At 49.4% G+C, this 24,698-nt stretch overlaps 2 annotated features.

The window, feature by feature from the left end:
- Positions 9,626 to 10,127: an enhancer, noted in NCBI's record as "H3K4me1 hESC enhancer chr22:49637011-49637512 (GRCh37/hg19 assembly coordinates)". NCBI's record gives its function as "activates a minimal SCP1, AML or CMV promoter by ChIP-STARR-seq in naive H9 embryonic stem cells {active_cell/tissue: H9 hESC(naive)}" and the evidence as "EXISTENCE:reporter gene assay evidence [ECO:0000049][PMID:30033119]".
- Positions 10,128 to 10,627: an enhancer, noted in NCBI's record as "H3K4me1 hESC enhancer chr22:49637513-49638012 (GRCh37/hg19 assembly coordinates)". NCBI's record gives its function as "activates a minimal SCP1, AML or CMV promoter by ChIP-STARR-seq in naive H9 embryonic stem cells {active_cell/tissue: H9 hESC(naive)}" and the evidence as "EXISTENCE:reporter gene assay evidence [ECO:0000049][PMID:30033119]".

The raw sequence follows: 24,698 nt of genomic DNA on the forward strand, positions 1-24,698 counted from the left end.
ATTTAATCATGAGGTGGAGACTCACCCTTTCCTCTGCCTTATCCCGGAGGAGAGTAGGGTGCTGTGGTTTGGGAGAGAACCCAGCAGCATGCTTCACTCTCTGCCGGACAACTTTCTCTGCAAGGCTGAGGTGCTCCTGATAAGGGCCAGCCCTAAAGCCCCTCCAGCACTCTCTTCCTCCACACACATCACTCGGAGACCGGCTTTGTCCTCTGGGTCCACAGAGCACCCAGCCACACCATTCTGTTGGGCATTTGTCACCTGGGAGTCAAAAGAGGCTGTGAATAGCTCCTTTCACCTTCCTCTCTCCTAGAACCCAAGGCCACCACACAGATCCTTACAGGGGCTCCTGGGTGTCACCCACACATTTTTAGATGAACAAATATGATTCTGTGAATGATGGTTTTGTTTGCTAAGAACCAAGACCTGAGGAGGTGTGTTTATCACAATGCATAGGCTCATCACCTTTTTGTCTACAGAAAACTTTGTAAATCCATCACCAAAGCATGATACCTCTGCTGAAGCCCAGGGCCAAGTTTCTCCTGGACAGGTGTTCAACAAGGAGGGAACAAAGCCAGGCCCCAGTGTAGGGTCTAGGCTGGGAGTGGAAGAGACCCCAGTGGCAGGTGGCGTGGGCAGCGTGGGAACGGTATGCGTGGTGGAAAAATTGCAGGGGGCCTGAGATTATCTTGGCCACACTCTCTAGGCAGCCCAGTGCAGATTCCCAGTCCCCTCTCAGACCTGACATCCACTGTTTCTGCAGATACAATTTTGCAAGCGGTCATGGGAGGCACAGAGGGGTCTGGGCCCCAAGAAAACCAGCATTGCTTCATTTTTCCCCTGGAATTATGACTCTGCAGGCAGAAGGTTGGGGACAGAGTGACGCAGGCCCACGAGGGCCCTTCTGTGGCTTTCTCTATGCAGAAACTTAACAGGGCTTTATTTCCCCATTGTTTATAAGCCTTTCCAAAGTCACATTCCACAGCCCCCGAGCCATGCCCTGATTCACCCGCTGACCCGCTGCTTTCCCGGGTCGTGGAGGAAGAGAAGTCCCTCAGGTCCTACCTCATGCTCCAGCCCTGCGCTTGCTGGGGAGAGATGTCCTGCAGCCTCAGGTCCCTGAACACAGCTTGTTCTGCTTATACAGGGAAACCCTGGCATCGCATGCCTGCTAATGTGAGTGAAAGTAATTTCTTCAAAATCACGATAAATAAAAGGTGAAACAATGTTTAAGTCAGAGAGTGGTTAATTGTCTCTCTCTAACGAGCAACTGACCTCCAGGGCTCAGCCGCTCCGGGAACTCATTACCCACCACGCTCTGGCAGCGGTGCCGAGCACAGGGGTGAGCCGATGAGGAGAAGGTTGTCCTGGCCAAGAGTCCAGCGTGGGAGGGACCCTGCTTCCTGCTCCTCCTGGGAAGGTTTCCGGGAGGGGCCGGCTGCTTCCCATTCCTGGGTGTAGATGCTGTGCTGGGGGCACAGGCTGGGGCAGGAGGTGCAGGGAGCAGACGGCGCGGGTGTGAATTGGAATGAATGACCAACTCTCCAGCAGACTTTTGGTGGCTGCCCTGTTGAGAAAAGCTGTCCCAGTGGCTGCAGGCTGGTGCCCAACACTGTCTGGTGCTGGTGTCCCTCCCAATCCCTATAGCTGGTATTGAGAGCGTATTTATTAAGCACCAGGCACGGGGCTAATACACAGCCCACAAATAAAGCTAAAGACAGAAGGAGGTTCCCGTGGCTGTTTGAATGCTCAGCCGCTCCCCTGTCATCCAATTTATGAAATGCAAAATCAGCACCACGCTGGCGTCAGTGTGCTGCGCAGACAGTGTGTGCCGCAGTCATCCCACCCTAGACCATTAGGTTTCCATTTTTCCTCGTATACTATTATTGCTTATCATTTATTAATATGAACCCAAGCGGAATAAAATGATATTACAGCAAGATCTCCATTTCTTGCTATATTCCAACTAGGTACGTGGTCAGTAAACAAAGTCTCTCTCATTAAGCATTACTGCACTTAGGAGCTATTACCAGTGAGGCACACAGACCCCGCTCCCCCGACACTGGATTTCATGGTTTCTCGTTTACAGGTGGCCTCTGATGTGGCCTGGAACACCCAGGCCACAGGTCTGTTGAGGGGTTAACAGAAGTGTAGCTCTTGGGACCTCTGTAGGCTTCCCAGTGGGGAGGAGGGTGATTTTCAAAGCTCCTCTGAGCAGAGGGAGGTGGGGGATGGAGACACAGGGTCACCTTGTTTGCATAGACTGCTCCCCGAGGGAGCCCAGACCTGTCCCCGATCTAGGCACCTGCCTCGGCTATCTGGAAAGTGTAATGCTCTGCAATGTTGGATGTTGAGTGATCGATAGGGTGATGAGAAATGAGCAAGGGCACAGTGAGAAAAATGCCAGGAGCGGCAGCTGCTCCAGGCTGCGTGGCCCACACAGTGAGCACCGCTGGAGGCCTGCTCACGGCTGGTGAGGGGCTGACAGGGATCCTCAGGGACACGCAGTGGGAGGCCGGCTTTGGCCAAAGTGTCTGACTTCGAAAGTTGTAACAGACAAGAATGTTCTGCCTCCTGCTCTTGGCAGAAATGGGGATCCATTGACGGGTTTGCTTACTGCACTCTGCGTGCCTATCTGTGACCCCACGTGCCACCCACTCATTTGCTGTTCCCTGGTGGCCCTCATTCACTACACTCCATCCAGCCTGTTTCTTCAGTGCTGCCCAAGGCCTTATTGGGTAAGGTGGAAGCAAATAATGTCCCCACCACGAGGATGGCACATGGAGTCCCAGCCACTCAGGCAGCTCACCTGCTGACCCTTCTGGAGGAGTTGCTCCCATTTACAAGGTTCTTCGTGTAAAACATAAGCTCAAATATACACAGGACCCCAAAATAGCCACTCCCCAGATTGAGTGGCATGACTCCCAAGTTTCTTCTCTTGGGGGAAGAGGCCCGGAGACAACTGGAGTTGACCGTCCTTGAGGCTGTGACATGGCCTCACTCACTGCGAAGAACCAGAAGGAGAGGCAGTCTGCTGTGCTTCCTCCTGCACCAGAGCACAGGTGCTTGGTTTGTCTTACTTACGTACCTGTCTGAGTGGGGTCTGAGGATGCTCACTTTCTCTGCCCTGTTCCCTCCCTCAGGCCTGGGGAGCAGGCAGCAAGGAAGCTGGGACCAGCTGGGTGGCAAACAGCCCATACCTTAGGCTCCTCCCTGGAGCCCAGGGTGGCGTCCTAGGATGCTCCAGGCCTTGGACTCTGGGATCCTTCCTTCTGATGCCCACATCACAGAGAGGTGGCCCAGCAGCCTGAGGCCAGCAGAGGCTGACACTGCCCAGCCCAAGAGGACCTCTTCACCCCAGGCACTACAGGTCAGAGCCAGCTACACCCAAAGATGGGCCCTAGAAAGCCCTCCTGTGACTCTTCTCCAAGACTTGCAATGCTCTGCTGATGAGCACTGAAAAGTGGGTGCAAATTCTGAATACCTGCATGCATTCTAAACCCTGTTACGGACCAGGTTCTCTGCGTTCTTCTGACAGTATGACCGAGACAAAACCACCTGTATGCTTCTCTGATTAAATATCCAGTTGGTGTCTGAGAAGAGGAGAGCCCAGCAGATTTTGATGCCTGCTGCCCATTAGCTGTTAAACTAAGATATTGTTTTTATTAGACCTTATCTGAAGAACCAGCCAAGCACGGGTTTTAATGAGAAGCAAAGAGTGAATGAGGCAGCTATAGGACTGTGCATATGAAAATGTAGGAGTGTCTGATGAAAGGCATGGAAATCTCATGCCCGAAGGATCAACAGTGGCAGGTCACCAGGAAACCGCACGGTTCTGTGCATAGGCTTAATTTTTCCCCCTCATCTCAGCCTGCGGTAATATTTTAAGTAGAACCCAATGATACATGAATTCATGTATTTATGCTTTTTTTGCCCATTTGCTAGCCTGTGTTCTTTTTTGGGCTTTTGTATTTTTCTCCTAAATTCAAAGCTGCATCCTCCACACCCCCACAAGCTTTGGGGAGTGGTTGGTTAGCCATCCTGGCAAGGGTCTTTCTGTCGGTCTTACCTTCTGACCTGGAACCTGGCTCCCTGGGCTCCCCTTTCCCAGGCCCCTTGCGGGTCTCACCAGTTTGCCTTGAAGGAAGGCAGGTGTGGCAGCAGCTTCCCCTGGGGTGCCTGCCTCCTACCAGGAGGTATTGCTGGCTCGCCGGAGGCAGCCCCGCGGGGGAGGCTGGGTGTGCAGATGTGCTTCTCCTTTCTCTCCTACATGGATACCAGCCTTCCAATCCCCTCTTTCAAACCCACCAGGAGCTGTGCAGGCTTTGGGTTCGGCCTTGTCATTGGCTCTGTGCTCCTGCTCACTGCTTCTGTATGTGGACTCGACTTCCTGGGTGACAGGATCCCATCCTCCCCGCAGATGGGTCATGGAGCTGCACGCAGGGCCCCAGGACCACACCATCTGCACATCTGCAGTGGCACCTGGGCCTTCCCCAGAGCAGGGGGAGCTTCGTCCAGCATGGGGACCCTTCAAATCAGAGACTCTATTGAGAATAAAGCAGGCCCTGGCTCCTTGAGAAGGGCAGGTGGGTGGAGTCTCCAGGGACAGCAGGAAGGGGAGCCATGTGACATCCTTGCAATGTCCCTTTTATTGGCTGACTCCAAGGTGGTGTTTACACATTGTCTTTGCTCAGCTGCCACAACAATGCACTGCAGACAGGAGGCTTCAAGAACAGACACTTATTTCCTCACAGTGCTGGAGGCTGGGAGTCCAAGGTCCAGGTGTTGGTTCCTTCCGAGGCCTCTCTCCTCAGCGTGTAGACAGCATTCTCTCTGTGTCCTCATGTGGGAGTCCTTCTGTGTGTATCTGCATCCTCGTCTCCTCTTCCTATTCAGACACTAGTCAGATGGAAGCAGAGCCCACCCCAAGGATCTCATCTTAATTTAATTTCCTCTTTAAAGATCCCGTCTCCAAATACAGTTCCATTCCGGGGCGCTGGAGGTCAGGACATCAACATAGGAACTTAGGGAGCACAATTCACTCCATAATACACATATAATTATTTCCTGAATAATTTTGAGATCGATGCATTCACAGAGTCCTGATTGGGAGACCAGGAGGTCTGTGGCCCGACACCCACTCACAGGGCACACAGCGAGTGCTGCCACCTGGGTAGAACCAAGAGATCCAGGTGTGGATGCTCCTGCAGCCACCTGGCCCTCGGGCCTCTGCTGTCTTCTTTTCCTCTTGTGCTCCCCAGCCTCCAATCCTCGGTTCCTACCTGCCCTCACCATTTGCCTCCCCGGACCCCAGGACACAGGGTTGAGGGCCCACGCCATCTCTGTCCATTGAGTCTGTCTGTGGGACTTGGCTTCAGGTTTAGCACTGGGTCCAGCTCGTGCTTTCGTGAGGGTGCACCATGGCGTCCCAGCTCCAGGATCACTGGGGCCACATCCCACCCCCTAGAGATTTCCAGTTCCCCAAATCTCAGGGCTCACGGGTGCTCCCAGGACCCCTCCAAAGCAGCTGTGGGCTGTCTTGTGGGATAGTCAGGGGCCATAGCTGAGACCCCCAGAGGCAGTCACCACAGGGCCCAGCAGAGATTCCAGCCAGCCTCCCTGCACAGGGCCCAGCAGAGACTCCGGCCGGCCTCCCTGCACAAAAAGCGAGGCAGGTATATTTTTATCTGATAGGTTTTAGGAACATTTTTGATAATTTCTAAAGTTAAGGCAGAGAGCCAGGAACACTGGGCAAATGGGACTAGTGGGGCCGGCCCTGTCAGGCGTTCACAGGGCGCCTCCCAGGCTGGCTCTTCTACTTTGTAAACTGCAAGGAGAAGACGCTGTGAGGAACAAGTCAGCTGGTGTGTGAATGTGGGCGGCAGTCACTAAAGCAGACTACTGGTCCTTGACACTAACAGTAACCAGGACAGTTTCATGCCAGGGGAGGGGCCACTTAGCCCCATCCATTTTGTAGGACTGGCAATTATGCTGATACACAAAGAAGATTTTCACACACCAACATCCATCAGTTAAGAGAATGTGGGAAACAGTATTCGCTGAATGAATGAATGAATGAATGAATGAATGAAGTGTCTTAGTCCACATTGGTGAATGCAGGCTCCCTGGGGGAGACTGGGCTCTGTATCCTTAGTATTCATTCTAAAGTTTTGTGCCTGAGTTTCAGATCCTCTCCCTCCCCTCCCTCCCTCTCTCCCTCCCTCCCTCCCTCCCAGCAACCATCCTCACTGCTTCTAGAATCCGCCTGCTCTGTCTTCTTCACCAGCCAGCCTCCTGCCCTCTATGGAGAGGTTTCTGAGGGAGGAGGCAGCAAGGTATTCTTAACAGCCTCAGGGGAAGGGATTGACTGCAATGTGGAGGGGGGTCCCAGGGCCCCCACGGTCCAGCAGCCCCCACCGTTTTCCTGACCTGGTCTTGGAGCCCCTGGCACCTCACCAAGGAGCCCGAAGACCATAAGTGGAGCTCGTGGCTGAGTTGGGGCTGTGCTCCGACTCGAGGCTAGTTTTTGAGGATATTTTTCTTAGAGACCCAAATGTCAGAACTCTGTGTAACTGGCCTGGACTTCCTGAAACTGAAGAGGGTGTGGGCCCTGGAGGGCTCTAAGCATCATTTTATTAGAAAGGGGGATTGTCACCTTCAAATGGATAAAGGCCATAGGGAGCTTATGCCCACACAAGACTCAAATTCACTTCCTACACGGCAGGTGCCTGGGAGCTGCTCTGCCCAGCCTTCCAGCTGTGGGTTCTAGGAAGGTCCTGGCCCATCCTCCCACCAGGGGACACATTCTGTGTGCCTCACAGGAGCCCCCCTGAGTCCCAGAGTGGTCCCCTAAAGGCCAGGAGAGTCAGGAGAACTGTCCCTCACGTCTCCCAGGTGAGGAAACTGAGGCTCCACGAAATGGGACGTGGAGGAGCTGAAGGTGCTTCTCAGGGCGTTGCAGCCCAGGCCACGCTCTTCAGACGCTTTCTGCTTTTGGCTCCCAGAAAGAGGCACACAAAGGAGAACAGGGCGTTCCTGCCACCAAGGATTGGCCAGGCTTTCTGGGGAGATGACATGGAGACCCAGCCATGGGGCCAGACCAAGTGTCCCTCAGAGAGGCCTAAGAACCATCCAGGCACCAGACCACAGTTCGTGCCAAAGCCCACTGCAGAGCTTCAAGTGCCCAGTTCTCCCTTCAGTAAGAAGATCACACTCCAGTCCCCACAGGGCATGCCTGGGGGCAGGCAACAAAGAGGGAGGTGACATTAGCAACTTGGGAGTTGGGCAGCTCCTGGTGCTGTGGACCCTGGAAGTTGACACAGTGCTCCAGGAGAGGAACAGTTTCCACGCCCAAACAACAGGGCCTGGCGCCTTCGCCCCTTTGCTGGACAGAGCCCATCCATGAATCACAGAAACAGAGGCTGCCTGCCACGCCTGCGCCTCCGAGAACCGTCCAACTCCCCACCGCTCCAAACGCCCCGGCTCCCTTGACTCCCAGAGCAACTCCCAGGCCTGTGATGAATCACCCGCGTTCTGAGCCACGCACGGGGTTCACAAATGGCTAATGGGAAACACCATGCATTCCTTAAAATGCAATCACTGGTCAGCTTGACCGTGCGCCATGAGGCCAGACGGGGTGGGAAGGAGCCCAGAGCCTTTCCCAGCACCATTTCCAGGTTGGGGGTCTGAGGCTGCAACAGGGGGATGAGGAGGTACCACCGGGGGCCACGGACGGGAACGGTGAGGCTCAGGGGGCTGTGGTGCTTCCAGGGGACTCTGGAAACCTCATTTTGTCTGTGAGGGGTGGGGGAGTACAGGCCGGCCCTGACCTTGCCCTCCTTGCTGTGGATCAGACACTCACGCCTTATCTCACAGTCTGCAGGGCAGCAATCGGGCAGGCCCAGCTGGGTTCTCAACTTACAGCCTCACAAACCCCAATCCAGGTGTGGGCCGGGCTGAGCCCTTGCCGGGAGGGTCTGCAGGAAACCGCTCCATGCTCACTCGGGGTGTGGTGGACCCAGGTCCTGGCAGCCGTGGGTCCCAGGTCCCATTTCCCTGGTGGCTGTCGGCCCCAGGCCATGCTTTGCCCCTGAAGGCAGCCGGGATTCCTGGCCACAGGGTCCCCTCCCTCCCTGAAGCCCATGGTGGTGAGTCAGGTCCCTCTCATGCTGTGAGGTTCTGACTTCATCTTCTTCCACCAACTTGAGAAGGCGCTCTCTGCTTTCGAAGGCCCATGCTTAGCAAGGGGCCTCCCTGAGAGACCCCTGAAGACAGTGCAGAAAAACACACCAAAGAAATGCAGAGAAAAGAACACGCAGGGCCCACCTGCACCCTCCAGGGTCCCTGGGCTACAGGCTCTGATGGTTCCTTTCCCGTGTCCACTGGACTGGGCCACAGGGTGCCCAGGCATCTGGTTAAGTGAGATTCTGGGCATTCCTGCGAGGCTGTCTGTGGATGGAGTTAACATTTGAACTGGGGGACTGAGTATGGCCGATGGCCCTGCCCAGCGTGGGGAGACCTCCAGCCTGGGACCCTGCTCTTCTCCGGCCTTCAGACTGGAAACCAAGCACCAGCTCTTCCCGGGTTTCTGCTGCCTGCCTCCATGGCAGCAGGAGCCTATTTCCTGTAATACATCTCTACTCACATGTGTGCCTGCACACATTTCACACAGATATGTGCCTTAACGTCTCAGACACGGATGGCTTTGCTGCCTCTCCCAGCTCCCTGGAGACAGTGGAGAGAGATAAGCCTGGTCGAGAGCACAGCCGGCCTCTCGGGACCGTCATGAGCCGCTGGCACCAGGAGCTTGGAGCCCACAACATTCCCTTCCCCTGCAGCAGTGCAAAGGATGAGATTCTCATCAGCTTGGGAAACCGAGATAAAGCAGGGAGCTCTGGGGAGCAATGCCAGGGGCTTCAGTGTCATTTTGAGCCTATCTCGCCTTCAGCATGGGCAGGAGCTGCCTGTGAGAGTCCCAGCCCACTGGTCTGTCTCTGCCCCCCAGGGCCTGCACTCGGAAGGGGCTCAGGAAAGCTTGAGGAATTGATGGGACCCATGTGAGCAGCATCCTTGGGTGGCCAAACCACCCAGGAGGGACCCAACTGGGGACACGGACCCGAAGGTGTGGCCCCTTCATGGCACCCCAACTCCCGGGCCCAGCCTCACGTCTCCACAAAGAACAGGAATGGTGGAGGCTCAGCCCTCCCTCTGCCTCCACAGCCAGCCCAGGGGGAGACAGTGCCGGTGGGAGCTGTGGTTCTTTAACAGGACAAGTGCACAGCCTCCTGGGCACAGCAGCCGCCCCGGGCTGCACCGTGATGTCTCCCGGCCATGACACCCCGTTTTATTCACTTCTACTTTGCAGCTCCGTGTTCAGCCCTGTGCAGGTGGCACTGATAGGACTAACAGCACTGGAAGATTTAGCTCACAGATCAGTGTCATTGCGTTCCATCATCTCTCCATGTTGTTCACTTTCCTACAACGCTCTTTCCAGCTGATATCATTCTATAGCTTACGGATTGAGAATTCTTATACTCTTACTTTAGACAACGGGATACTATGTTGTCCAGGAGAAATTCCGGTGAAAATGCAGAGAGTTCCAGGCAAAAGGGATTTTGTGGTTTTTGTTTGTTTGTTTTGGGGTTTTCTTGGCCAAAACCATTATGGACTAATTAAAGGAAATGCGCTTTTATGGTGTGGGAACTCTCTTTTCTGTAACGGTCGCAATTCTTCCCTTTTCTTTTAGGTGATGGAGGCCCTGAAAGGCCTGGTTTTGGGAGAGAAATGTGAGTTTTTCTTTTTATTTTCTCCTCGGACTTGATCACATTGAAGCATAATGCTTGGGTGGTGCCGGCCCCTTCCCAGGAAGTCACTGAGCTCCTCGCAACTCCGTCCCCACCCCTGGAGGTTACTGAGCTTTGCACGACACCAGCCCCTTCCCAGGAGGTGACCAGAGCTTCTCGCAACACCGGCCCCTTCCCAGGAGGTCACTGAGCTTTGCACGATGCTGGCCCCTTCCCAGGAGGTCACTGAGCTTCTCGCGACTCCAGCTCCTTCCGAGGAGGTCACTGAGCTTTGCACGATGCCGGCTCCTTCTCAGGAGGTCACCAGAGCTTCTCGTGACTCCAGCCCCTTCCCAGGAGGTCACTGAGCTTCACACGACGCTAGCTCTGTCCAAGTCGGGGTCCCTGTGCCCCTAGGTTTCCGGTCACCGGGAGAGCTGTCTGTCGCGCCATAAGCTGGAGGTGCGCAGGAGGATAGAAATAGAAACTCCTCATCCAGCCGGGCCAGGGCACTGACAGCCACAGCGATGTCCACGGTGTAATGGTCACGGACTCCGTCCCCAAATTAGCCCATTTTTTACAAAGACGATAATGGGGGGCGGTTCTCTGTGAAATGGAGCCCTCCATTTCGGCCGCTCCCGCGTCAGGCCCAAAATAGGTGCCTGCTGGTCATCACTTCTGCGATCATGCTTTCATCTCCACTCAATTACGTCGCCTCCGCGTACTTCTGGGCTGCTGGTTTATCATGTAAGAATATAATTTAAAAGTGATCCGCCCCTCACTTTCCATATTTAGAAAAAAATTAAGTAAAAAGTAATGAATGCCACCCATCTCTCGACAATCACACGTAAAAACCTTTCAATTCTTCATGGAAGACGCAGAGATGAGCCTGGAAGTCAGGGCGGCTGTAGCTGACATCAGGTCTGTACTCACATTAGCCAGCAAACCCACCGTCAGGAGGCCAGCTCGGCTTGTTAAGTGGAGCTGGGGTGATATTGCCCTGATCCACGATAATGAATTCATATTTTAAATGCATTTTCAATTTAGGATGTATTTTAAAGCAATTTGCAATTTGTAGACAACTGTAAATCAGAGCATTAAATTAATCACGTAATGAATATGGTGGAGCCATTTTTGTAAGGCAAAGCAGTTTATTTACCTTTGTCTTTATGGGGTGAGCAGACCCTGCACTTTGGAAATGAATAAAAAGCTCTGTATTTAAAACACAGTAGCTCCGAGTCAGACTCCACTGACCTGTCCATTTATAATTCACATCGAAGGCATCTCTCCCCAGGGAAGAAGGAAACTGTAGCTACACAGCTGCTAGTTCCGCACCCACTGGGTTTAGGTCTCCATCGGTTGTGGGGGCAGTCATAGCCCAGGAAGGCATGACTCAGCTGCCAGCCCAAGCCAAGTTACTTTGTATGAAGGTCTCTTTCATGTCAAGCTGTGTCCTCACTTTTGGTTACACAGCATCAGTGGGAGTCCATCTCCCCTGGGCTGTGAGGTGCCAGAAACAGGGGCTCTCTGTCCTCCACTCTCTCTCCACTGTCTCCACAGTGACTCTCCACTGTCACTGTGGCCTGGCACATGACTGGGCCAATGGCATTAAATGAATGGATGGATGGATGGATGGATGGATGGATGGATGGATGGATGAGCAGGTGTGTAGATGGATGGATGGATGGATGGATGGATGGATGGATGGATGGATGGATGGATGGGCGGGTGTGTAGATGGATGGATGGATGGATGGATGGATGGATGGATGGATGGATAGATGGATGGATGGATAAATGGATGGAAGGAAGGAAGGATGGATGGATGGATGGATGGATGGATGGATGGATGGATGGATGGATGGATGGATGGATGGATGGATGGATGGATGGATGGATGGATGGATGGATGGACACATGGATGGATGGACGGATGGATGGATGGATGGATGGATGGATGGATGGATGGATGGATGGGTGGGTGTGTAGATGAATGGATGGATGAGTGGGTGTGTAGATGAATGGATGGACGAATGAATGAATGGATGGATAGATAGATGGATGGAGGGATAAATGGATGGAAGGAAGGATGGATGGATGGATGGACAGATGGATGGATGGACGGATGGATGGATGGATGGACAGATGGATGGTTGGATGGATGGATGGATGGATGGATAAATAAATGAATGGATGAATACTTGAGTAGCCACATAAACGCAGCACTCAGTGCCCCAGCCCATGCTGTTCACTGTGTCTTGAGTACACCTCGCTCAGGCCTGGTCCAGAGCTGCTGTCCCTGAGTGCAGTGTTCATGATTCAACAACATATTTTCCAATGAGGTGTCTACAGCAGAAGCACACAAAACCAGGCCATGGGCTGGTTTATTGATGCAAATGCGACCAGAGGCTCTAAGGAACCTCCGGTCCATGCCCCCTGGGAGTTCAGCATTCACCCACTCAGTGTCTGCAGCCACTTCAGAACAGCTCCTGCAAATGATGAGCATGGACTGTGCTGGTCACAGTGATTTTCTCTTCCTCAGACCCCTCCCTGCCATTCGTGTCTATGCCCAGACTGCCCAGACCAACGAGAACAAAGAGCTCTGTCCTTGCACACACCCAGAGTCCCAAGTGGTCCTGAGCCCTGTGCACCTACCAGGTGGGCACCAGGGGGTGGCTGGGCTGGATAGACAGGGCCCAAGTCAGGGTCCTGCTGGAGACCAACCCCTCGCTCCCCAGTCCTGGCCTCAGGACTACTGCTTATGCTAGGGAAGAGAGCCATAGGAAGCTTGCTGCACCATCCACCAAAATCTTCCTGAAAACCCACAGCCCCATCCACAGTGACCCAACCCTGGGCCTGGGTCAAACAGGGACAAACCGGCCAGCCCCCAGAGGCCAGGCTTCCCCCAGGCCTCTGACCACTCCCCTGTGATGCATTGGGCTTTAAGACCCGATGAGCAGAGCCAGCCGGAGCCTGGGCCCCGAGCAGGACCCTGCACAGGGTTCTTCTTGCAGGTCTCTGGGCTGCCTCAGTGGGGGTCAGCACCTTCGGAACCCCCCACTGTGCATGGAGTGTTTGTTTGCTGCAGACGGAAGCCATGAAACCACCCTCCCTGGGCAGGAGCTGCGCCTCGAGGGAGAGCAGAGCCCAGGAGGACTGAGGTGTGCTTCATTATGAATCTTGTTTAATGGATATTCATTATTTTCATTTATCTCCTCATCCTGCAGCTATGTAAATAAATGCAGTGTGACACTAGCCCTACAGCAGAATGAATTAGGAACTAATTTCCCAAGGAGTGAACATAGCATCCTGAGGTGGCCACTGGCCAAAGGGGTCCCAGGACTGGCACTGACCCAAGATTGATAGAGCCTCAGACCCCTCGGTCCTCCAGCAGGGCCTGGGGGCAGTGACTGGAGCAGGGCAGGAGGCGTGTCCCCATCCCAGAGCTGCCACACCCAGGACACTGAGGGGCACCTCTCTGCACCCTTCGCCAGGTGGTAATGGCTGGGAGAGAGCAGCAAAGGTGAGAAGCCCTGTCCTGTGAGAATTCATGATTCCTGAGAACCCAGTCAGACTGCAGGGCCCCTCAGCCTCCAAATTACGCCTGCCTGCGGACTGTCTTATGGCTGCCTTTTGTGTGCCTCACACCTGGGCTCACCTGGCTGGGCTCTCCTGTAGACAGCTGTGGTTTCCTGGGATCAGAAGCTGTTATGTGTTGCTGGGATTTCGGCGTCTAATGCAGGATGTGCCACATCGTGTGGATTTTGAGTTGGATTTGGTAACCGGAAGCACTTGCTGCAGGGTTGGGGTTGATGGAGGGGGGATTCCTTGGCTTCCTGTCTTGTGGGGAAAGACCCCATAGTTGCTCAAGGTCACAGACACAGGGAGCAGCCAATGATGATGGTGCGCCCCAGAGGAGGTGGCCGGCACCCCAGCCCCGCACACCTTGCTCCCTTCGTTCATAATCTATGGGTGCATCTGGCATTGGCTCTGTGAGCCGGGCATCAGCCAGGCCCAGGAGACCAGCTCAGCCCCCATCTCAGGGGAACAAGGGCTCCCATGAGGATGCTCAGATGAAAACCTACACACAGCATGGGAGAATGCGGGTGACCTGAATGTCCACTCGCTGCCCAGGTTACCTTCCACTCACCTCAGTAGTCTTACCTGTGAAAGGGGATGATAATAATAAACCCTACCCCACAGGCATGCTGTGAAGATCAAACAACATGTCCCATGTAAACCACTTTGCATAAGACAACCCCTGTGCATTACCAGTGCAGAGCATGGTGCACCATGTTTAAAGTAAATATCATCCAGCCCCTCACCATGTTAGCCTGCCTGGGCTGCCATAACAAAAGCTCAACAGACTGGGAGGCCTAAACAACAGGAATTAATTTCCTCACGTTCTGGAGGCCAGAAGTCCGAGATCAAAGTGTCAGCAGGGTGGGTACCTGGTGAGGGCTCTCCATTTGGTTTGCAGACGGCCACCTTCTGGCTGTGTCCTCACATGGTGGATAGAGGGGGAGCTCTCTTGTGTCTCTTGTTGGGACACTAATCCTGTTAAATCAGGGCTTTGCCGTTACAATCTCATTTAACCTAAATACATGTTTGAAGGCCCCTTCTCCAAATACAGTCAAACTGGGGATTAGGCTTTAACATGTGAACTTTGGGCAGTAACAACATTTCGTCCATAACACCCACCAGGAATATCAAACATCCTGAAGCTCTGTGATAGAGCACATGAACATATGAACTTGGGGGAGTGATGTTGTTACTCCCCTAAGTTCACACGTGAAAGCCTTTGAACAGAAAGGCAGGAGGATACTGTACAAGTTCAGAGACAGAGAGAGGATGGTAGGTGGTCAGTAGCAAGTGATGAATTCATGAAAATGAGAATCTGCCTCTAGGAGGAGAGTTTAAAAGGAATACCAAATTCATGAAAATGAGACTCTATCTCCAGGAGAGGAGTTTCAAAGTAATACCAAGTGGCCAAAGAGCCTCAGCAGAGATATGAACGTGACCGTGTGCCAGAAGAAGGAAGGGCCCAGCTGGCCAGATGTTACGTCCAATCCATGCCAAGTTGTGAGCTGCAGAGAATGGCTCCAGCATCAGGGCTGTACTGGCTGGATGGGAATGGCCTGGAAGAAAAATATTTCATTTTCATCCACTGTGAGTTTTTTCTTGGAGAGCCTTCTAATGGCAGCAAGCTCTGGTGGCACAAAGCTATTCCCCGCTGACATTGGCAGTTGAGTCACATCCCAGATGAGCTGACAAAAGGTTTCCTTCCCATTTCTGGGCAGCCACCAATGCTTGGGGTTTGTTATAATTTTATGGGTAATAGATCATATCACACATGAGAAGAATTCATAATATGGAGATTAAGAAAAACAATTTATTAATGTTAATAAATCCTCCAATAAAACTTCCAGGAGGACCTATAGTGATAAATTGAATAATTATGAGTATAATTATGACTAACTAGAAGTATAATTTCATGCTAATGCAATAATAATGACACAAAAGTGTAGATCATGAATTTTAACTGCTTAGTTATTTCACATTTCCACAAGTATGGACAAAAAAAAAAACCCTCTCTGAAATCTGATCAAATTATGGTTGACTGAGAAAGAGAAAGTGTTCTTGGTTTAAACAGACATCGTTTTGATTATCTTTACTGAACTGCAAAAAGTCTTATGTTAATTAGGAACTTGAAGATACTAAATTCAAGAAATAGATACTCAGGAGTGCAACGTTTTTCTGAGTCAAAAAACCCCCATGAACTCATCGTTTTATCACCTTTGAGCACCATGTGAAAGAGAGGATGGAAGATAATTTGCATTTAAGTTTGCGTTTTATGTTGATAAATGTTTCAAGAAGGGATAAACTAGTGCAGACAGATGTGATTGCCTCAACTCAACAAAGCATTTTATGCATTGAGATGAGCCCGAATTAACTGCCTCTGAAAAGGAGTTTGCTGGGGAATAGGAAAGATGGTTCCTGGAGGCGTTTCCTTCACTCTGGACTCAGTTCCCAGGTGACAAGGCTTCAGACTCTGGAGGGTTTTCCTAGAGCATCTCATTCCACAGGATTCGTGTAGGCTGTGAGATTGTCCTTGGGCCATGAGAGAGCCCCACCAGGTGGGCATATTTCTCAAGTCAGAGTTACACAGGAAAAAGTGCAACACCAGAGTTGACCAAAAGGGCTCCAGGAGGCCAGGTTGGGGGACAGCCCCCTCCTGTGCTCTCCGGCCACTTGGTGTTATTGTTGCGAATATCTTCCCGTGGATGCCCAAGGATCCAACTGAACTTTGTTGACGAACTCTTTTCCGCTCATGTCGAGCCTGGAAGAAGAGAGTTGCTCCTAATACAAGAGGATTTCAGTAGATGCTTTGGGATTATAGACTCCATTAACCTATTTTGAGAAATGGCCACACAGTACTGTAACGGGGTTCCACTCCGCCAGGGCTCCACTCCTTCCGGCTGCCCCCGTTCCTGGATATGGGTGGGCGCCGTCTTTCTCAGCCGTTCTGATTGAGGTGTAGTGGTATCTCGTGTGGTTTAATCTGCATTGCCCTCGTGGCCAATGATGTTGAACATCTTTTCATGCACTTATTTGCTATCCATGTGTGTTTTACGGTGCATGGTTTATTTAAATATTTTGCCCATTTTTTAATGGGTTGTTATTTTCTTACTGAGCTTTGTGAGAGTTCCTTTTAAATTCTGGATACAATTTCTTCATCAAATTTATGCTTGAAAAATACTTTCTTTCTATCTACGACTTGTCTTTTCACTCTATTAATAATCTTTTGAACCAGAAGTTTTTAATTTTAATGAAGTTCAATTTATGAATTTTTTCTTTGATGGATTTTACTTTTTGGTAGCGTATCTATGAATTACTTGCTTAAACCAAGGTCACAAAAATTTTTTTTCCTATGTAAGCTTCCAGAAGTTTGAGAATTTAGATTTTCTATTTAGGACTATGACCCATTTTGAATTAAATTTTGCATATAGTGAGTGATATGGATCGAAGTTCATTTTTTTTTGCATATGTATATCCAAATGTTCCAGCACCATATGTTGAAAGACTATCTTTTTTTTTTCTGAATTGCTTTTGCAACTTTGTCAAAATCAGCTGTTCATACAAGTATGGATCTATTTCTGGACCTTCTATTCCATCCCATTCATGTATTTGTCCGTTTCCAAACCAAATCACCCTGTCTCGATTGCTGTATCTTATCAGTCATGAAGCAGGTAGTGTAAGTCTTCCAACTTTGTTCTTTTGTTCAAAGCTGTATGAGTTATTCTAGGTCCTTTGTATTTTTATATAAATTTTAGAATCAGCTTGTCAGTTGCAACAAAAATGCACGTGATTTTCATTGAGATTGTCTTGAATCTATAGATCAATTTAGGAAATTTGACATCCTCAGTTGTGAGTTGTCTGATCCACAAACTCATTCTCTTCCTTCCGTTCTTCTATTTCTCCGAGCAACACTTTATAGTTTTCAGTGTATTGGTCTTATACATCTGCTGTCAATTTTTCCCATGATACTTCATTATTTGATACTATTGTAAACAGTATTTTTTCATATTTTCTGGATTTTTGTTGCAATTACATAAAAATATAATTGATCTTTGTATATTAATCTTGTGTCGGCAATAATGCTAAACTTGCTATTACTTCCAGCGAGTTTTATGTAGGTTTTAATGGATTTTTAAAATAGACTATCATGTCCTCTGAATAATGATGGTGTTACTTCTTTTTTTCAAATCTAGATAGATCCTGTGTGTGTGTGTGTGTGTGTGTGTGTGTGTGTGTGTGTGTGTACTCTTGCCTTATTGTAGTGGTTGGGACCACCAGGTCAATGTTGATGATAAATGATGAGAGCAGCATTCTTGTCTCGTTTTTAGGAGAAAATCATTCAGTCTTTCCCCCCACTGAGTTTGATGTGAATTTTAAGGTTGTCATAGATACCCTTTATTAGTCTGAGGAAGTTCCAATCTATTTCTGGTTTGTTTTTTATCATGGAGATAGGTTTAATTTTGTCAATGGCTTTTTTGTGCGTCAATTGAGATGATTGTACACTTTGAATCTTCTAGATTGCTAATATGGTCAATTATATTAATTGATTTTCAGATGTTAAACAAACCTTGTGCTCCTGGGATAAATCCTAGTTGGCAATACTATTACTTCATTTGTTACACTTTGTTGAATTCTATTTATTGAAGTTTTATTTAGAATTTTTGCCTCTATATTGATAAGAGGAATAGGCTAGCTGTTGTTTTTTCTTGAATGTCTCTCTTTTGTTTTTGTTTTTCTATCACAGTAATGCTGGCCTTAAAGAATGAGAAGAGAAGTATCCCCCTCCCTCCAGCTCAGAGATAGAGTGTGTGGACTTGGTGCTCTCACCTCCATAAATGTTTGGTGGAATTCACCAGTGAAGCATCTAGACCTGGAGTTTTCTTTATGGGAGATTAATCATTTTTAAAAATCTTCTCAAAAAAATAAATTTTGGCTTTGTTGATTTTTTTCTATTGTTTGTTTCACCTTTTATTGCCTTCTGCTCCTAGTTTATGATTTGTTTTCTCCTGCTTTCTTTAGGTTTAATTCTGTCTTCTTCTTATAGATCCCTAGTGGTCATTGATTAAGGTTTTTCTTCTTTTCTAATAGAGACATTCATTGCTGTAAGTTTCCCCTTCAAGACTGCTTTGGCAGCATGATGCAAATTTTGATCCGCAGTGCTTTAATTTTGTTTCAGTTCAAAATGTATTTTAAATTTCCTTTTTGATTTTTTCTTTGACCTATAAGTTATTTTGAAATGTGTTACTTGGTTTCCAAATATTTCAGAATTTTTCAAGGTTCTTTCTCATATTGGTTTCTACTATAATTCTACTGCATCCAGAAACAGCCTTTGTTTGACTTAAATCTTTTAAATTTATTAAATTTTTTAAAAAATTGTGATGGGTGCATAGCAGGCACATATGTTTATGGGTTGAATGTGATATTTTGATACAGGCATATAATGTGTAATAATCACATCAGGATAAATAGGACATCCATCCCCTCAAGACTTTTAAATTTATTGTGACTTTTTCATGACCCATAACACGGTGTATGTCTTGGTAAGTGTTTCCTGTGCACTGGAAAGTAATGTAAGTTTTGCTGTTGTCAGGTGGAGTGTTTTATAAACATCAATGATATCAAGTTTAGATTTCCATATCATTACTTCTTTTCTGTCTACTTACTCTATCAATTATTGAGAGAGCAGTTTTGAAATCTCAGGCTATAAACGTAGATTTTCTTTAACTTATCTTTATCGTATCAGTTTTTGCCTTATATACTTTGAAGCTTTCTTATTAGAGATACAGAAGTTTAGATGGTTATGAGATCTTGGTGAATGTACCCATTTACCATTATAAAATGTACGGTAATACTCTTTGCTCTAAGGTGTACTTTCTATGATATTAACATAGTCACTAATTTAACATTAGTGCTAGCATAGAATATATGTATTTAATACTTTTATTTAAATCTATGTGTCTTTTTATTTAACATGTGTTTATTGTAGACAGCATATATTTGAGTCTTGCTTTCTTGACTAATCTGACATCTCTTCATCTTAATTGGGGCATTTAAATAATTTATAGTTAATGTGAATATTGCTATTCTTTATATCCACCATCTTGCAAATTTGTCTTATGTGTTTTTTGTTCCCTTTTTACTCTTTTTCTGACTTGTTTTTGATTAATTATTTTTGTAATTCCATATTTTCTCCTTTGTTGGTTTACTTAAGTCATTATTGTTGTAGTTCCCATGGCTGTTTCAGGTGTCAGAGTAAATATCTTTAACTCCTCACAGTGTGCCTTCCAATGAGACTACACCAACTCCCAAAGGGTAGAAGAGATCCGCAGTATATCTCCACTTATTCCTTGTGCTAAGGTTATAAAATATACCTTTATTTATTCTATAAACAGACAAAAGGTAATGTGATGAGCATCTCTATGCCAATAAACAAATTGAAATTAACACCTTCATTGAAATGGACAAATTATCACTTTCTGTTTCTCCTTAGACAATCTTGGTTGGATTGAAAAGTCAGGAGAGTCCTATATTTGTTGAATTTCATGTCATACCCATCAAGAGTATTCTCCATGTGCCTTACAAAGAACTTGGCACACGTCCTCTGACCGGACACAGGCATGAGGGAGCCAAGTGCCTATGGCAGGAGGACAGCAGGGCCTGACTCAGATACAGCCTCACTCCTGGTCTTTGTCAGGGCAGGACTGTGGGTGTGGTCCCCACGGAGCAGACAGACATGGGGAGGAGGAGGAGCGGCTGTGAGGTCATCCTGAGGACCACCTGGAAAGATGCTCTGCTCAGGGTCCTGGAACCGCAGAGGATTCTCTCAGCCTGCCCATGTGGGAGGAACCACAAAAACGTCCATGAGAAGAGAGCAAGATACATACATCTGTAAGGCTGGAAGAATGAGAGCAGTTTCTAGGCATCCTGACCATGTAAGACCCTCTTGCCTACACCTCCCCCCATTCCAACATTGGTGGGTCAGACACTGGCTGGCAAACTGGAGATAGAGACTGGGGGAGAAAAGTATAAGACAAGTAAACAGGGACTATCCAATCACACCCATCTTTCTCTCTGTAGACCTCTAGCCTAAAGGAGTGTGAGCTGAGGGAAGGAGGAAAATGTGACATAAAATCAGGTTTGGGGAATGAACATTCCATTTTCTGACCAAAGACTGTATTTGCAGCTGAAAGTGACCAAATCACTTTCCGTTATCCAAGAGTCAGGAAAACCCTCTGGACCCACCGGGGTTTCATCTATGGCTAGGGAAAGAATCAGCCTGCTGCAGATTTATGAGGAGGCAGTGAGAAAAATCAATCCCTGCAATACCCAGTATCCAACCATATCATGGGTCAGCCTTCTTCACCCTACCATAAACACGCCTTGAATTCACAGAAAACAAGGGGCAAGTGCTCTGCATCTTGGTACACTTCAAATCACTCTACTTTTTCATCCTTTATATGTTTTCCTATTCTCTACTCCATACCATTTTTGCAGTTTCTAGATCATGCATATCACCCAAGTATCCAGAGCTCTTCAATGTAGGTTGCTCAAAAACAAGAGAGAAAAAGAAAGTCATACATCTCATAGTGCTTGTTAACATAAAGACATGATACATGCAGTGTAATGTTAAGGCATAATCAAGTGTCAAAACAGGTATTATCATGCAAATGCATGATTTCTATCCAATGAGTCAGTCACAATGAGACTTCAAGATGAGTGAATTGAGCAGACTATAGCAACAGCTACCTGCCACAAAGGCCAGTTTTTGCCACACTGCATTGAGGGATGAAGGCAGCTGACTGCCCGATGTGCCATTAGCAATGGACTGAAACCAAAGTGTTGATGAGTAAGGAGAGTAGGGGCAGGATGGAGTCCAGAGATTGGCCTCTCTACTTGCCTGCATTTTTGAGATAGTCCATAATAAAGAATGTAGAAAGGGAGCGAGGGAAAGACAGAGCATGCACGCCCAGAAGACACTGAGTTCTCTGCAGGCTTTTGCCACAGCTGTGCCTCTGCAGCCCACACTCGGACCCACTCGGGGTCACATGGAGGGCAGCAAGACACATGAGCATCTGGCCATGTTTCCAATGAGCAGGACAAAGTCTAATTCTGCTGGGATGTGTTAAAATGTAAACATGCCTTTTTCCCTAGCATCTCCTTCACTAAACACCTGCCAGGAACAGTTATCAACTCATCCCTGTCTCCTCAGTGATCAGTTAGGAATAAGCAAGACTAGACCAGGAAGACCTCCAGGCCCTGTGACACGAGGCTCCCACTCCAGAGTGGGCATTGCTACTCATGGATCCACAATCAGGGAGGAAATAGTTGCATATTCCTCCATGGCAGTGGCCCTGGAGAGGAGCTAAGAATCACTGGTTTACGATCTTATCCCAGGGATGAGTTAACTGGGACCCAAAGAGATGAAGTGACCATTCCAAGGTCAGACAGTAGATTAGCTGAAGAAGAGGAATTTATTCAACTGGAAAGTAACCATTCTTCTTCCTCTTCTTCTTTTTTCTTATTTTTTTAAGATGGAGTATCACTCTGTCACCCAGGCTGGAGTGCAGTGGTGTGATCTCAGCTCACTGCAACCTCCACTTCCCAGGTTCAAGGCATTCTCCTGCCTCAGCCTCCTGAGTAGCTGGGATTACAGGCACACACACCACCACACACCACCATGCCTGGCTAATTTTTTTTTTTTTTTTTTAGTAGAGATGAAGTTTCACCATGTTTGTCAGGCTGGTCTCAAACTCCTGACCTCAGGTGATCCACTGTCTCAGCTTCCCAAAGTGTTGGGATTACAGGCATGAGCCACCACGCCCAGCAGAATGTAACCATTCCTATGCAGCTCCTCTTCCCAGGCACTGAACCTGAGAAGAACAGCCACAGCTTCCAGTGATCTTGGCCCTCGGCACAGATGAGGGAGCAGGAAACTGCAGGAAAGTGCAGTGGGACCCCTCCCTCACACCAAAGACTAACATCAGAAATGTGCTGGTAAATCGTGAAGCCACTGGAATGTCCGTACACTGCTGGTGGGGCGTAAATGCAAATGGTGAGGGGTCTCTGGCGGCACCCATTCCAACTGCCCTTGTGCTCCCAGTGGCCAGCACTCCCACCAAGGCAGTGTGAACATTCACCAATGACATGCAGGGGAAGGGTGTCCCAGATGCTCTTTCTGGTGTGAGAGCCAGAAACTAGAAATGACCAGTGATGATTAATGTTACGTTTCACTTGTCCTGGCCAGGGGGTGCCCAGATAGCTGATTAGACCTTATTTCTGTGTGTGTCTGTGAGGCTGTTTCCTGGCATGGTTAGCGTGTGAATGGGTGTGCTGTGTAAAGCAATGGCCCTCCCCAGTGTGCGTGGGCCTCACCCAACACCGCCAGAGCTCAAATAGGACAAAAAGATGAGGTGATGGAGAATTCACTCTTTCTACCTGACTCCATGAGCTGGGACATCCATCTGCCCCAATCTCAGACTGAGACTCACAATGTCTGCTTTTCTGGGTCTCCAGCTTGCAGACAGCAGACTACAGGACTTCTCAGCCTCTACAATCACATGGACCAATTCCTTAGAATAAATCTCTCTGTGTATATATGGAGGATACACACACACACACACACACACACACACACACATAAAGGACCTCCTGCTACTGTGCATCCACACAGGGTTCTCACAGTCACAAAGATGAGCAAAGCTCCCTGGACAGCCACAGACTGAAGGCACTAAATGACCATTCGAAGGACATCTGAGAACAAACAGAAGTAACCCTTCGTGACTCAGGTCAGAGTTCTGGTAACGTTGGGGGTCACTGTTGGGGGCAGGAGGCAGTGAGGGCAGGGCTGGAACTGTCCCATCAGATCTGCCTGCTGGTCACTCTGGCAGAAGCACATCTGAATCGCTGTCCCCCAGAGTCCTGCCCTTAGAGTAGCAAGACTTGCATACATGACCCTGCCTAGCTGTGCCTTTACCATGAAAAGGTAAAAGCCAATTAGCAAACAGTGGGGAAAAAAAAAAGCCAAAAACACACAGTACGGTGCCCCCTTGGCTGGGGGTGTGACATGCGTAAGAGGAGGTGGCCACAACCTGGGGAGGGACGAGGATGGGCCTGCGATCTTCCAGGCCCACGGAGCACCGCTCACACCGCCACAGCACAAAACAGTCCACAGAGAAGAAATCACTAACGTTCAACCTACACTTGTGGACTTAAGTGGCCTCTCTGTAACACATGATTATAGGATTTAAAGGAAGAAAACGGCGGCACACACAGCTTTGCTTTGCTCTAATAGTACTTTGCCCAGCGATGGCTCAACTCAACTCATACTTTTCCTCCGTACTTGATGGGAATGTCTCCGTCCTCTTTTCAAACCACAGTGGCAGGCGTGCCCTGCGTCCCGCTCCATCCCCTTGGGCCCTTCCTGCTCTGCCAGCTGGAGGGACCGCTCTATGGGGTGCTCCTATCACAGCCCCTCTTATACCCAGCCAGGCTCAGCCTCGGGGGGGCAGTAGGGAAGTGAGTGTGGGAAGAGAGAGCCCCGGGGGCCCCTCCCTGCCCTGGGCTGACCACTGTGCTGTTCTCCGGCAGCAGACCCCCAGCGAAGCCCCTCCAGGTCTAGTGGACACCACTGGGAGCCTCCACCTCCCTTGTCAGATGCCCCCACCCTGTGGGCCCCCAGCAAGCAGGCCCTTTGTGGAGCCCCAAAACCATAGTCTCCTGTAGGCTGCCCCGCCACCCGCTCCTGCCTGAGCCTCCCCTTGAAACTGTTGGCAGGTGGATTTTGGACCTCAGGGTTCTTCTGTGGGGACTTTTCTTTCTTTTTTTCCCCATCTTTCTTAATAAGCCCTGCAGTCCACTCGTATCAACAGCCGCATCTCCATAGTCCTGTGAGAAATCTCTTTGCCTGCACCCCCGGGAGGATTCACGGATGATTCCCATTAACACAGCCTGTGAGTGGGATTCGCCACAGTCACAGAGAGAAGCTCAGGGCCGCCTGCTGAAGAGGAGTGGGTAAAACTCAGCCCGATTTGCCGGCGCCTCCTCAATCCCACAAAGGATGTGTTCTCAAGGCACCTGGAGGAAGCCATTGGCATGAGTAGGACGTGGACCCTGCTCTCAGGCTCGGCGGTGCCCACCACCCATGGCCACTGCTGTCACCTAGGGGACCTCCTTCTGAGGACCTTTAATCAGAAAAGAAGATGGGGAGATTGAAGACGCTGACCCCTTCCTGTTCCGCACGCAGGGGCCTCCCAGGCTATGGGCAGATTAACCATCTCACACACCTCTGACGTCATCATAGAACCATCCCCATGAGGCAGAGGAGGATCTGAGATATGGG

Source organism: Homo sapiens, chromosome 22 (assembly GCF_000001405.40).
Source record: "Homo sapiens chromosome 22, GRCh38.p14 Primary Assembly".
Lineage (NCBI taxonomy): Eukaryota > Metazoa > Chordata > Mammalia > Primates > Hominidae > Homo > Homo sapiens.